Here is a 15,043-nt window from a genome sequence, read left to right as displayed (position 1 = left end):
CCCGGCTAATTTTTGTATTTTTAGTAGAGATGGGGTTTCACCATGTTGGCCAGGCTAGTCTTGAACTCCTAATCTCAGGTGATCCGCCCACCTTGGCCTCCCAAAGTGCTGGGATTACAGGGGTGAACCACTGTGCTCAGCCAAGAATTCCCATTTCTTAATCAGGCTACCTGGGTGGTGGAAGCATGGGCTCAGGTCTTGGCTGGGGTCTCTAGCTGTGTGACCTTGGACAAGTTTCTTCACCTTTCTGAACCTCAGTTTCATCATCTCTAAAATGGGAATTTTACTGTCTGCCACCTGAGCTGATGCTGTTTAGCAACTGAAGTAGAAACCAAACCTAAAGCTCCGGCTGCCTGCGCTGAGATTTGAGATTAACCAGGGCAAAGGGCTGATGAGGTGGAGGATCCAAGGGTAGAGGAATTTATGGCAGCCAAGGGTTTATGGTTTTGATATGGGTTTATTAAGCACAATTTAGGACTGAAATAGTCTCCTCTGGCCTCCACCCCCCCCCCCCCGCGCTTGTCCCCGATGGCGGCAGCATGAACAAGGCCTCCGTTGCAACGTTATCGAAAACATTTCCTGGTGCTGACTAGTGGAGGGAAGGCACAGGGGAAGGCGGGAGCGGCCCTAGGGATCAGGTAGACAGCGAATGGGTGCTCTGAAGCCTGGAGAGTTTAATGGTTAACTTCTCGCTAAAAAGGGGCGCATGAAGAGTTCACTTGTACTCCTCATGTAACGGGAGCTCTCACAGTTACTGTGATCTCATTCCATTGAATCCTGACATCTGCCCTGGAGGGAGATATCATTCCCACTTTACAGATGAGGCTCGGAGTGGTGGAGTGACCTGCCCAAGGTTACGCTGATCAGCAAAACGTGTGCTTCCCAGACCAGAACTTTTGTCCCCTCCCTTAAGGAAGAGGTGAAAGGATCGCCCTGCTCTACCCTCATCCCCAAGGAGGATGTCCCCATATGTAGGCATCCCATGGTCCAGCCATTGCCGAATGCTGTGGTGTGCTGGTGAATGTTAACAACGGGCTCTCCAGGAACAAAAGCCCGGATTTGTAGAGTTTGCTAGTCCTTGTGGTGTAAACACTCCGGCAATAACCAATTTCAAGCTATCAGTGTGGCACTGGCAAACATGGAGTTGGGAAGAGAAGCTAACAGTCAGTTCTCACAAGCCAGCTCCAGCACAACCCCGAGTGAATGGAACGCTGTGGTCTGTGGTGACCGAGACACAAGGCCACCCTCCTGTAATAGTTTAGCCTTGGAGAGAAGCCCAGTGGCTACAGATCTGGCTGGAGATTCTCAAGTGCATCTCTTGCTTTTATTCTTTTTACTTATTATTTATGTTTTGAGACAGAGTCTTGTTCTTTCATCCAGGCTGTAGTGCAGTGTTGCATTCATAGCTCACTGCATCCTCGAACTCCTGGGCTGAAGCAATCTTCCCACCTCAGCCTTCAGAGTAGCTGGTACTATAGGCACACACCACTATACCTGGCTAATTTTTAAATTTTTTGTAGAGATGGGGTCTCCTTATATTGCTCTGGCTGGTCTCGAACTCCTGAGCTCAAGTGATCCTCCCGCCTCAGCCTCCCAAAGTGCTGGGATTACAGAGGTGAGCCACTGTGCACAGCCTTGTTCTAGAAAAAAAAACAAAAAACAAAACAAAACAAAACAAAAAAACCACTTGCTTTTATGAAATGTCCCCACAGCTACTCATCTTCCATTGCTGGCAGATTGAGGTGACCCAGCAAAAGGTTCTGTCTTGAACCTTGGTGGAGGATGACAGACCCTTGGACCCTCTTGCCATTCTTCCAGATCTTGCCATTGCACTCTCCCCTCATCACTCCCCTCTTCAAGAAGGGGGATCAACTTTCACTCTCTCGATATACTAAGTACTTGGAATCAAGAGACCAGGGTTAGATGTCCACCTCTGCCTTCCAAGAGAAGTCACTTCCCCCAAGCCTCAGTCTCCTCATCTGGAAAGTGGGAGTAATCATGTCTAACTGCTTACCTCTTGATGTGAAGACTGAAAAATTATAATGGACACAAAAACATTCTGCACATCACAAAGAACTATAAAACTATTCTCATTCTTCCTTTAAAAAAAATTTTTTAACCCCCAAGTAGAACCAGAAGATTCAGTCTTATTTCTGATACCTGAAAGAAAAGATACTTATCCAAGGACTTAGAAAACATATGCGCCATTTATTTTGTTTTATAAACTTTTGTTAAAACACAGAAGAGTAAGAAATGTTTTTTGTTTCTTTGCCCCATCAGGCGGCAGTGATGGGGGCTCAGGGGTCAGCGCAAGACCTAATGACATTCACACCCACAGAAAGATGTGGGTCGTTCTGATGGGACCCAGCCCGCTTTGATAATTGCTTGATGTAAATTTCACAATTCATCTTAATCAGGGCAGATCACAGAAAAATTTGGCAAAAGTAATTGGCTTGGTAATGACAAGAAATAGAAGAGCGTTCATTTCTGACCCTCTCCTCTCCTCTGTCCACTCTCAGGAGAGCCATGCGGATTTTTAGAAGCTCCTGAGACCCGCCTGAAGATCAGGGTGTCTTGGTGGGGAAATTGTGCCCACGCTTGTCCCCCCAGCAACCCTCTGTTTGTCCATCAGATTTTATGTTTTAGGACCACAACTCAAGTAGCCAAAAAAAAAAAAAAAAAAAAAAAAGAGAGCGAGAGATTTTCTAATATCATGTCAGCTTAGAGTCAAAAAAGTAAACTTTGTTTTGTGTTTCTCACATTACAATAAAGTTATTAAGGTGGAATGGGTTTCTCCTCCAGAAAGGGGTAGATTCCCAGCAGAGAACTGACCCCCTGCTCCAACAGATTGTTCCCATGAAGGGCCACTGTTGCCCACGGCACTCCATGGGACATTCTTATCTCAACCTTTCTCCCAAGACAGAGGTCTGAGCAACGCTGGAGGGAGGAGGTGGAGGAACACAGTGGGAATGACCACAATGCCCAGAAATGGTTCCAGCCTCCCTGCCTTACCGCAGACCAGGCTGAGCCGTCTGGCAGGGATTTCAGGGGCACTTGAGTGAGGTGGTGGGGGAAGGCTTGGGAGCTCTGAGCAGGGCACAGTCTCCGCTGGGATTGGGGGCTTGGCTGGGACTGCCGTAGGGATGTGGTGATTCCTCCCTGACACATTGCCCCAATACTTCTCCACGCCTCTTTCTCATAAAAAACAATCACTAATGGTGGGATTTCTGGGCACTGGGGCACTGCCTCCAACCACTCAGAGGGGTCAGTGTTGAGCAGGGGGCAGGAGTCGGTCCAACAGTTTCCCTCCTACCTAATCACACCTCCAGCCCCATAACACATCCCTTTTGTTCACACTGGTCAGTGGCATTTTCCAGAATGTCCTCAAAGCCACCAAGATTCCACATGGATGACATGCTGGTCGCTCCATCCTGGGGTCTAATGCTTCCAGAATGCACCTGGAGTGACGGTCTCCGGAGCAGCCCTCAAACCCAGGCCTGCTTAGCCCTCCCCTGCCCCCACACTGTGCACACTGTCCCACCCCCATGCCAACAGGCCAGATGAGCCTGACTTCCAGGAAACAGACCCCTGCCACCCCTCCCCTTGACTTGGGGAGTGAAGAGAGAAAAGCTGTCAAGAGTCATGAATTCTCCTTAATATTTATCAGCAAACAGGATGCTCGACCCTAAGTGAATTTTAGTGCAGCCTCAGGCCAATCTTGGTCCTGGGAGTGGGCAGGGTTCCCAGAAGAACGAGTCTGGTTTCTGAGGCTGTAGAAGGGAGCCGGAAGCCCCTCAACTTGATCACGGTGAGAACACAGGGAGCCTTTGGAGAAGCTATTCAGCCACTGTAGTTAAGAGCTCCTGTTCTGATCCAGGGAGACCTGGGTTCAAGTCCTGACTCAGCCACTTCCTAGTTGTGTGAGTTTCAGAAAAAAAATCACTTCACCTCTTAGAACGCAATTTCAGCTTCTGTAACAATCTCTAGGTTAGGAGGGAGTGGGGCGGGTGAGGGCGGGGAGGGAGGAGGAGAATAAAAAACAAAAACAATCTCTAGGTTAATAGGGAGGAAGGGAGGATTAAATGAGATGATGCATGTCAGATGCCTTAAGACAGTGCCTGGGAGTAAGGAAGAGCTTGAGACAGGCCCTGGGAGCTTATTCCTCCTGGATGTCACTCTGATGTGAGGGTTTACCCATCTTGTCCTCTCCAGCCCCAAGCCTCATTACTCTCACCCGCATTATATCATCCACCCCACCTGACCTCCCAGCTTCCAGCCTCCCGTCCTCTGCAGAACTGCTGTGTTCATTTTCTGGAAGCCCAGCTCCCTGCATACTCCTTGAAGCTGATCAGGACCTCAGCCTGGTGTTCCAGACCCTATGCTCTCCAGCAGGCCCTCTCTCTCTTCATCATCCCTCTCCCACACCATTCTTCCTCAATTCTTGCTAGATTCTTACTACCACTAGGCCTTGGCTCAGGCTGTTCTTTGGAATGTCCCATCTCACCTGCTCTACCAGCCAGAATTCTACCCTTTCTCAAAGGCCTGGTGGATGGTCTGCCTCTTTCTGATGCTTTTCCTCTCCACTCCAAGTTCCTGTTGCAGTCGCCAACCTGGGTTTGTTTTCTCGGGTTGAAGGCCTTCAGGGATCCTCACCCAAGTACCCACCCAAGTCCCTGAAGAAGGAGGATGAGGTTGGGTTGGAGGAGAAAGGCGTCTTCCCTCACCACAGCCTTCTAGACCCTGCCTGGTGCCTGGTCCCAGTCAGTGCTTACAACATGTTCCCAGAATGACTGGGGGAATCGTTTCCAAGGCCTCCTTGGCCTCTGGAGAGGTGGTGTTGGAGAAGACGGGATGGCTGAGCAAGGTGACAGCAGAGGGAGGCAGCAGAGGTGGGGGCAGCAGCAGAAGGAGGAGCAAGGTGCCCCAAGTGCCACAATTGGACCCAGCCTCACAGGGCTCTGTCTGGACACCATGACAGGGGCTAGGAGAGGAGAAGCACCAGGCTAGGGAAGAAGGGAGCTGGGTTTAAGTAAGGCCTCAAGTCATCTCCAGGCGGCTGTCCTTTGGGATGAAGTCGGGGGTTGGACATGGATGAAGGTGAAGGTGAAGGCAGTGGCTTCAACATGAGAAAAGTTGTCCAAGGCAGTAGAGGTCTCCCCAAGTCAAAGTCTTGTTATCCAGAGCAGGGCGTCAAGGGTGGCAGTGGGATGTGGCCCTTAGGCCATGTTCTCGGGCCCTTCATCCTTCCCATTCCTGCTCTGGGACTGGTCCTGGCATCACGTCTTCCTTTGCCGTGACCACGTGATCACCAGGTGCTCTCTTAGGGGGCTGGGGGGAGCCAGTGGAGCCCCCAAGCCCCAGCGGCTTGCTAGATAACTTCCTGCTTGGTGATGGTCGGCTGGGGGATGGCAGAGAGGGGCTTGACGATTGTGGCGACGGCTCCCGGCAGGAGCTTATAGGGCTCAGACCCTGAGCCACCTGGCGGTGAGGGCTGTGGGGTCTCAGGGGTGGCTGGAAGGACAAACAGACAGACAGGGGCTGCTCAAAATTCCAGCCTTTGTGGGAGTAAATGAAGAGGCCCGGGAAAGTTCTCCCCTCCCACCCTGCCCCACCTTGACTTAATTTCTTCCTCTATAAAATGAGAGAATTAATTAAACCAGATAATCCCTAAGGTCTTTTATTGCTCAACCTTCTGTGAGTCCCAGATCATAAAGCCTAAGTTTTATGAGGTCTGGAAGGTCCTACCACCCATCTCCTCCATCATTTATTTGATATGCAGACTTGGACTGCTTCTCCCAAACCAAGGCCCAGGCCTGGCTGTCCCCAGCGGCAATGGGATGGGTGACAGGGATAGTCTTTCCTGGGAGAAGGAGCAGCAGTTGATGAAACCCCGGACCAGCTGGCTCAAAAAATACCATTTCTTGGATATTTAGGAGATGAGTAATAGAAACTAATTGGCCTCACTCTCATGGCAGGTTTGGAGAGCAAATTTGACCCAATTGGCCATCTTTGTTCAATGGAAAACTTTCCCTGAGAACAATGTCAGTAAAATATCATCTTATCTCAGTGGATCACTTCATCCCATTGATAATCTTATCCTTTGAAGAGCTTTGCCCAATGACAAGTTTATACTTTGGAGGTTTCAGAGGATGGTCTAGCCCAGCAGACATCCTGACCCAATGGGTAGTCTCATCTAATTGTCTAATGGATAGCCTTACCCAACTGTGCAGCCTTACTTCAATGACCACTTTTACTTAATGGACAATGTCAACTAATGGAATTCTCACCCAAGAACATCTTCACCCAATGGGTTACCTCATCCAGTGGATTGCCTCATCCCAACAATGGCTTCATTCAGTAAAGGCTGTCAGTCACCTTACTGAATAAACAGCCTCAACAAATGGACAATCTTGCCCTTTATTCCCTACCCTGGAACCCAGAAAACTGTTGCATCCTGGTTCTACCTTCTAGACTCCACTTTCTCCTGCCTCCTGTCTTAAGCCCCATCCTCACCCTTTGCAAGGTAAAATCCCAGAGTTTGCCCACCTGCCTGTCCCCTGGGTCGGGGCCACTCACACATCTGTCCGTTGCTGAGGTGAGTGGGCATTGTGTTGGCAACGATGACGTTGGTTCCCATATGTTCCTGCATCAGGTGAGGGTGCAGGGGGTGGTGGGCATGGGGTGCATCGCTGGGGGACCCTGCAGGTAGAGAAGGTCGATCAGGATGGAGAGTCTGGGATGCAGACCTCAGGCCTTGGGACGCCATCTTCCTCAGGCGTGGCCAATCAACCAGCCCATCCAATATTGGCAGTGCCTGTTGGGTACCTATTCCTGGGTTAGTAAACTAGGGTGTACCATTCCCATCTATAGACTTCATGAGGGTGTTAAGAGGACCCCAAAAAACCAAGAGAACAAAAGTGAGTTGAAAGGAACAAGGTGCATATAAGGAAGCTCTGAGATCACGTAAATGTTCTAATGAGTAGTGTATTGGTCACATAGTAACATAATGGATGTAATCAATGGCTCTCAAAGCTCCTTGGAGTGCAAGTCCTTCAACCATTTGGTCCCGCCTCACCTTTCAGCCTCATCCCCCACATCTCTGCTGCAGCCAACTGACCTACTTATAGCATCTATGTGTCCCCTGTGTTTTTCTATCTCTATGCTTCTGCTCACGTTGTTGCTTCTGTCAGAGATGTTTTTCCACCCCAAACCTGTTCCATGTCCATAAGCCCAAATCCCAGCTCATATATTTCCTCTCTTTAGAAGCCTCTCCTGATTCTCCTTCCTTGGATTTCTCATAGTAATTTGTCTGTAACACAACTTTTAGGAACAACCACTTCTTCTGTCTATGAGCATTACAATTTCAGAGGTATTTTTCTTCTTTCTTTGAGGGCCTAGCAGATTGTCTGGAACACAGTAACCGCTTCAAACATATGTCAGGGAGTAAAAATACCACATGGGATATGGTTTAATAATAGCCTATGGTGAGTAATATGACGATGATGGAATTTCAACGCTTGCAAGCGATCTCTACAGTACATCTATTTCAGTGATAAATAACAATTGTTGATAATTAACAATTATCACGTGCCAGGTACTGTTGTATAGCACTTCCCATGTTTCACATAATTTAATCCTCACAGCAATCCTATAGGATGGATACTATTATTAGCCCATTCTACAGATGAGACAACTGAGCCCAGAGAGCTCTTAATTATTTGGCAACAGACCACAGGCTCCTGATCCTGATCTCAATGACACCTGATTCATAATAACCCCATGTTCACAGGGTCAAAGTGAGAATGAAATGAGCTATCACATAACAGCGATTCCCAACTGGGGATGATTTTGGCCCATCAGGAGACATTTGACAATATCCAAAGACATTTTTGGTTGTCACCACTGGAGAAGTGCTACTGGCACCTTATGGGTACAGGACAGAGATGCAGCTGAACAATGTACAGGACAGCCCCACACAACAAAGAATTGTCCAGTTCCAAGTATCAATAGTACCAATGTTGAGAAACCTCACCCTCGCCTTGTCATCTTCAGTCACTGAAACACCTCCAAAATCTCGAATTCAACATCCCCACTTTGACTTCACCTCATGTCCTTCCAGCTCCCGTAATCTAATACCATCGCTGCAAAAATTCTTCAGCCCTACTGAGACTGTCAATTCACTGACACTCTCTTTTCACTATCACCCCATCCTTTTGTTGTTGTTGTTGAGACAGAGCCTTGTTCTGTCGCCCACGCTGGAGTGCAATGTCATGATCTCAGCTCACTTCAACCTCCATCTCCCGGGTTCAAGTGATTGTCCTGCCTCAGCCTCCCGAGTAGCTGGGATTACAGGTGCATGCCACCATGTCTGGCTAATTTTTTTTTGTATTTTTAGTAGAGATGGTGTTTTGCTGTGTTGCCAGGTTGGTCTTGAACTCCTAGCCTCAAGTGATCCACCCGCCTCGGCCTCCCAAAGTGCTAGGATTACAGGTGTGAGCCACCGTGCCCGGCCTCTATCTTTATTTCTTTTTGAGTGCAGCCCAGACTCCATGACCTATCATTCTAATCACTCCCTTGCAGTCATCCTAACTCCTTCATACTCCCCTTCATAGTCAAACCATTTCAAAGGGTTATCTACTCTATCTCCACCTTCCCACTCACTCTCTTTGGAGCACTCTCCAATCTGGTTTCCACTCTCCCAGCTCTCTGATGCTGCTTTCAACACAATTGCCAAGAGCCTCCAGCTGTCAATCCAATGGACCCTTTCCTCTCTCTTCCCCTCCTCTCTTCACCTCTCCTTTCTTCCCCGCTTCTTTCTGTTTCTCTGTAGAGTTTAACACCATTAAACACTCTGTCCTTCAAACACGCTCTTCTCTTGGATTCTGGAATTGCCCTGGTTTTCTCCTACCCCTCTGGCCAGTCTTCTTCCCTTCCCTCCATGGCTCCATCTTCCCCCTGATTCCACAGAGCTGCCTTTAATCTTGTGCTTGAGCAACAGACTCATACATTCAACAGCCTCCTTGATAACTTGGATTTGTAATAGTCATCTCATGCTTAATGAAAGTCCACAATGAGGCTGGGCATGGTGGCTCACACCTGTAATCCCAGCACTTTGAGAGGCCAAGTCGGAAGGATTGCTTAAGGCTAGGAGTTCAAGACCAGCCTGGGCAACATAGTGAGACCTTGTCTCTATAAAAAATAAGAATGAAGAATTAGCTGGGTGTGGTGGCACGCACCTGTAGTCCCAGCTACTTGAAAGGCTGGGGTAGGAGGATCTCTTGAGCCTGGAAGGTTGAGGCTACAGTGAACTATGATTGCGCCACTGCACTCCAGCCTGGGTGGCAGAGAGAGATCTCGTCTCAAAAAAAAAAAAAAAAGGAAAAAAGAAAAGAGGGTCCACAATGGATCTCTGAGGTCACCCCTCACTACCACCCCCAGACCCAGTGTCTTGTTGTTTATTCTGTCCTCCTCATTTCAGTAAATTACTCCATCGTCATTTCTGCTACTCAAAGCAAAAATGTAGACTTTGTCCTTGACTCTTCCTCTTTCTCTCACTCCCTATGTCTGATCAATCAGCAAATCCTGTGGGTGTGGGCTCTTCCTCCAAATAGATGATCAGGTTTATCTTCACTGCTCCATTGCCAGGGTCCAAGCCTCCATCATCCATCACATGATTGGAGACAGTGACATTCTCAGGAATCTGCAATTCACTCTCTACCCAACAGAGTGGTTTGTTTGAAGCATTAGTCTGGGATGGGTGTGGCGGCTCACACCTGTCATTCCAGCACTTTGGGAGACTGAGGTGGGTGATCACTTGAGGTCAGGAGTTTGAGACCATCTTGGCCAATAGGGTGAAACCCTGTCTTTACTAAAAATATAAAAAAATGAGCAGGGCGTGGTGGCGGGCGCCTGTAATCCCAACTACTCAGGAGGCTGTGGCAGGAGAATTGCTTGAACTCGGGAGGTGGAGGTTGCAGTCAGCCAAGATTGTGCCACTGCACTCCAGCCTGGATGATTGAGGGAGACTTTGTCTCAAAGAATAAAAATACTTAGTCTGGTTTTCACTCTCCTTACAATAGTTGCAATGAGAATAAAATCCAAATTTCTGAAAAGGCTGACAAAGCCATATGTTTATGATTTGGTTTCTGCCCAATCTCCATCTTCACCTCCTACACGTCCTCCATCTCACAACCTTGCCCTTCTTTCTCAAACACAACACTCTCTCCTATCCGCAGCCCTTGAAGTAGTTTCTTCTTCTTGGAATATTCCTCTCTTGTCTTTTAAGCCTTCCATTTCCTTTCAGCCGTTAGGGTCTTAGCACAAGAGTCACCACTTCAGAGAGGTCTCCTGTGGCCTCCCCTATCTAAAGAGGATTCCTTTTCAGTTAAACTCTATCATATTACCTGTTTATTTCAAAATCATAAAATGTGAGGCTTTATATACACATGCACGCACATACGGGCATATACACAGATATCCACGCATCCATACATACTCACACACACACAGCCTCCCCGAGGGCAAAGATCTTGTTCTTTGCTGAATTGCCAGCACTTAGAACAGTGACTGGCACGTGCTAGGTTCTCGGTGCCTGAACAAATAGACCATTGCCTTGTTCCCATTTTTCTGGTGAGGAAACTGAGGCACAGACAGGTTAAGCAACTTGCCCAAAGCGGCACAGTGGGGAAGCCAAGGAGCTGAGGGGTGAGCTCACTGTGTGAGGCCTGTCTCCTGGGGAGTCCCCACTCCAACCCCGCCCCTCCTGGGCTTGGCACGGACCTCCCAGCAGCATCTCCTGCAACAGGTTGTCAATCTTGGCCATGCCGAAGAGCTTGATGAACTGGATCTGCTCGATCATCTGCCAGGTGATGCTCTGCAAGGTGGGCAGCAGCAGCAGCAGCTCTCCAAAGCGGCCACGCGAGTCATACTGGCGGTCGTTGATGTAGTCCTCCAAGCTCACCTGCACCTGGGAACGCAGCCGCTTGATCTTCCCTGGATCGCTCAGCCCCTTGGCATCTACAATGGAAGAGGGTGGGCAAGGGAGGGCAGCAGGGTCCAGCTGGAGCATCTGGGGAGTCAAGACCCAGATGTCCCCTGACTTGTATCACACAAGGAGTCTTCAGCAGTGTGGGCACAAGGATTCAGGGACCTCAACAACCAGGGTACGCCAGCATGAATTATGATTTCCTAGACACAGGCAGAAAAAGATTTCTGCCACATTTCCTAAAGCACTAAACCAGAAGAGAGGGGAATAGGAGATGGAGGGCGGGACTTGAGGAATGCATCCAATAAGCACCTAGCAACCGCCTCATCTTACACACGGGGAAACCCAGACACAGTGCAAAGATAGGACTTGTCCTGGGTCGCACAGCCAGTTGTTGGCAGAGCCACAATGGGAACTTGGGGTTTTGGGCCACAGTTGAGGTCCCCTCATCCAGACCTCAGCAGTTGCTGCTTCTACTGTGTTAGAATAGGCTCCCCTTCCCTGGTTCCTGCTTCCTATCACCTTAGGGACTCAGGTTAGGTTTCACCTCCTCCAGGAAGTCTGCCTTCTACCCTCCTATATCTGTATCCTGTGTCCCTCCTGTTTCCAAATCTCTGCGGCCCCTCCATCACTGCTGACCACACAGGATGTAATTGTTGTGCCATCCAACTGTGAGTTTGGCAGGGGCACGCGTATGTCTTATTTGCCATTTTTATTTTATTTTATTTTATTTTGAGACTGAGTCTCCCTCTGACCCCCAGCCTGGAGTGCAGTGGCGTGATCTCGGCTCACCGCAACCTCTGCCTCCTGGGTTCAAGCGATTCTCCTGCCTCAGCCTCCCGAGTAGCTGGGATTACAGGCACACACCACCACACCCAGCTAATTTTTGTATTTTAGTAGAGACGGGGTTTCACCATGCTGGTCAGGCTCATCTCAAACTTCTGACCTCAAGTAATCTGCCTGCCTCAGCCTCCCAAAATGTTGGGATTACAGGCGTGAGCCACTGCACCCGGCCTTTGCCTTTTCAAACTCACCACCTAGCACCATGCATAGTCAATATTTATTGAATAGGGCCAGGCATGGTGGCTCATGCCTGTAAGCCCAGCACTGTCAGAGGCCGAGGCGGGGGGATCACTTGAGGTCAGGAGTTTGAGACCAGCCTGGTCAATATGGTGAAACCCCATCTCTACTGATAATACAAAAATTCACCTGGCGTGGTGACACATGCCTGTAATCCCAGCGACTCAGGAGGTGAGGTGGGAGAATCGCTTGAAACTGGGAGGTGGAGGTCGCAGTGAGCCAAGACGGTGCCACTGCACTCCAGCCTGGGTGACAGACTATATATATATATATTTTAAAAAATATATATTTATATATAAATATATATTTATTGATAACTATATGTATATTTTTTGTTAGATGGCTGGATGAATGAATGAAAAAAAAATCAGTGAATAAATTCTAGATCCTTAGCCTAGAAAGGAACTTAAGCGGTCATACAATATTTAATCTCAACCTTCATGGAGGTAATGCATTTATTTCCTCTTTCATGGACAAAGGAAGTGGCAGAAAGAACATTCACCCACATTTCTAGTGGGCTGTCTCCACTGAATCATGCTTATTCATTAGTTCATTCAGGCCACACATGTTTATTGAGCACCTCCTGCATGCCAGGCCTTGAACTAGGTCCCCCGCCCCTTCAAATTGCTGGAGGCTGCTGCCTCTGACTCAGCATCAGTGATCCTTCCCATTTTGCAGAACAATTCTGCCAGTCCAGCCTCGTGTTGAGCACTACAGAGGATACAGGCTGGGCCAGGCTGTGGAGGGAACTAGAACTAGAAATCTCACCCTCTGGTAAGTGTGGGATAGCAGGTGGTAGGTAAGAATGTGGGCTTGAGAGAGAGAAATTGGGATTGACAGGTGGTCTGAAGTTCAAATCCAAGCTCTGCCATTTTCCGGTTGTGTGACCTTGAGCAAGTTAATCATGCCTCAGTTTCCTTATCTGTAAAATGGAGATAATAATAATTCCTACTTCACAGGTACCATGTTGGTAAGTAAGACAATCCACATAAAGTGTTTAAAAACAGCTCTTTAGGGAGCATTCAATACATGGGGCTCATCTTCCACTTCATCACTCTCTCTATATATAATATATATCACTATATATATATAAAATATATATCACTATATATAATATATATTATACGTAATATATCACTATATACTATATATATCACTATATATTATATATATATAATATATATTATATATATATACACATATATGTATTTTTTTGAGATGAAGTTTTGCTCTTGTTGCCCAGGCTGGAGTGCAATGGCATGATCTTGGCTCACTGCAACCCCCGCCTCCCAGGTTCAAGCGATTCTCCTGCCTCAGCCTCCTGAGTAGCTGGGATTACAGGCACGGACCACCACACACAACTGATTTTTGTATTTTTAGTAGAGACGGGGTTTCACCATGTTGGCCAGGCTGGTCTTGAACTCCTGACGTCAAGTAATCTGCCTGCCTCAGTCTCCCAAAGTGCTGGGATTACAGGCGTGAGCCACCACACCCAGCCTTTTCATTACTATTATTACTAGAGGTAATCTATTTGCAGCGTGAAGGACAGTGCCTGGCACACAGTAGGTCCCCTCTAACATGTAAGCAGGGAAGGCAAGCAAGCCTCCAGAGTTCAGGCACCTTTGATGCTGGGAAACAAAAGCAAGTTTTGTACAAAGACTGATGACAAATGCATTCTGTATAAATGCAGGTGCAAAAGTCAGTGGACAGAATGGGGAGAGGAGAGCCAAGAGCCACAGGAGAGGGTAGGAATGCTTTTTCTTCATCCTGCAATGTGAAGGGTTGGGAGATACCGTCTACAGTTGATAGAACAAGAAAGGAAAGATAAAAGCACATAACTTGCAACAGAGACTCAAAAATAGCAATAAAAATATATTGGGAAAAATGGGGAAGAAAAGATGGGAATGGTGATGGAGAAAAGCAAAATCCTCTGCCATCCTAGGAGGAACATTATGATCCAAAATGGATGCATCAACAAATATAAGGCTTTGTCTTTCATTTAGAATTGTTGAGGAAACTGCCAGAAGAAACAATTAAAATAATCAGACATGCTTCTCTTGGGGAGTAGACTTAGAGCTGGAAAAGTAGGATGGGGAGAAGTATTTGCATTTTAAGTATGTGTAGATTTATTTATTTATTTATTATTATTTTTTAGATGAGGTCTTGCTTTGTCACCCAGACTGGAGTGCAGTGGTGCAATCACATCTCACAGCAGCCTCCACCTCCTGGGCTCAAGAGATCCTCCCACCTTGGCCTCCTGAGTAGCTGGGACTGCAGGTGCTCACCTTGGCTTCCCGAGTAGCTGGGACTGCAGGTGCTCACCACTATCCCTGGCTAATTTTTTTTAGTTTCTATAGAGACGAGGTCTTGTTATGTTGGCCAGGCTGGCCTCGAACTCCTGGCCTGAAGTGATCCTCCTGCCTCTGCCTCCCAAAGTGCTGGGATTACAGATGTGAGCCACCACATCCGGTTCTAGATATTATTTTGATAAATTTTTTTGAGGAAAAGAAGCAAATATGAAAGAAAAGAGGAAGATGGGAAGTAAAGAGAAAGAAGGATGGAGGGAAGAAGTAAAAGAAGGGAAAGCCCAGGCCTTTGGAGTCAGGGTGCCCTGTCAAGTCATATCCTCCCTTTGTTTTTGTTTTTTTGAGATGGAGTCACCCAGGCTGGAATGCAGTGGCGGGATCTTGGCTCACTGCAACCTCCGCCTCCCAGGTTCAAGCAATTCTCCTGCCTCAGCCTCCCGAATAGCTGGGATTACAGGCGTGCACCACCATGCCTGGCTAATTTTTGTATTTTTAGTAGAGATGGGGTTTCTCCATGTTAGCCAGGCTCATCTTGAACCCCTGACCTCAGGTGATCCGCCCGCCTCAGCCTCCCAAAGTGCTGGGATTACAGGTGTGAGCCACTGCGCCCGGCCATATTGTCTCTTCAAATCTTGACTTGCCTCATCTGTTAAATGAAAACGGCCTCTCCTGG

General features: G+C 47.9%; 1 protein-coding gene across 14 annotated transcripts in view; it reads right to left on the bottom strand.

Moving 5' to 3' along the window:
• Positions 1 to 437: 437 nt before the first annotated feature.
• HNF4A (hepatocyte nuclear factor 4 alpha) overlaps positions 438 to 15,043 on the bottom strand; it is a 78,898-nt gene continuing 64,292 nt past the window's right edge. For 4 of the 14 annotated variants that reach the window (NM_001287182.2, XM_047440138.1, NM_001030003.3 and 1 more), the window contains 3 exons: positions 10,780 to 11,016; positions 6,577 to 6,699; positions 438 to 5,511 (listed from right to left, as the gene is read on the bottom strand). In NM_001287182.2, coding sequence (NP_001274111.1) covers positions 5,369 to 5,511; positions 6,577 to 6,699; positions 10,780 to 11,016 — 503 coding nt within the window. In that variant the 3' untranslated portion in view covers positions 438 to 5,368. Of the gene's footprint in view, positions 5,512 to 6,546; positions 6,700 to 10,390; positions 11,017 to 15,043 lie in introns of those variants that run through there. The other 10 variants (XM_047440135.1, XM_047440136.1, XM_047440137.1 and 7 more) reach the window with 3 other exon arrangements.

Source organism: Homo sapiens, chromosome 20, assembly GCF_000001405.40.
Source record: "Homo sapiens chromosome 20, GRCh38.p14 Primary Assembly".
Taxonomy (NCBI): domain Eukaryota; kingdom Metazoa; phylum Chordata; class Mammalia; order Primates; family Hominidae; genus Homo; species Homo sapiens.
The sequence above is the reverse complement of the archived record's forward strand: the minus strand, read 5'-3'. Positions and strand labels throughout refer to the sequence as shown.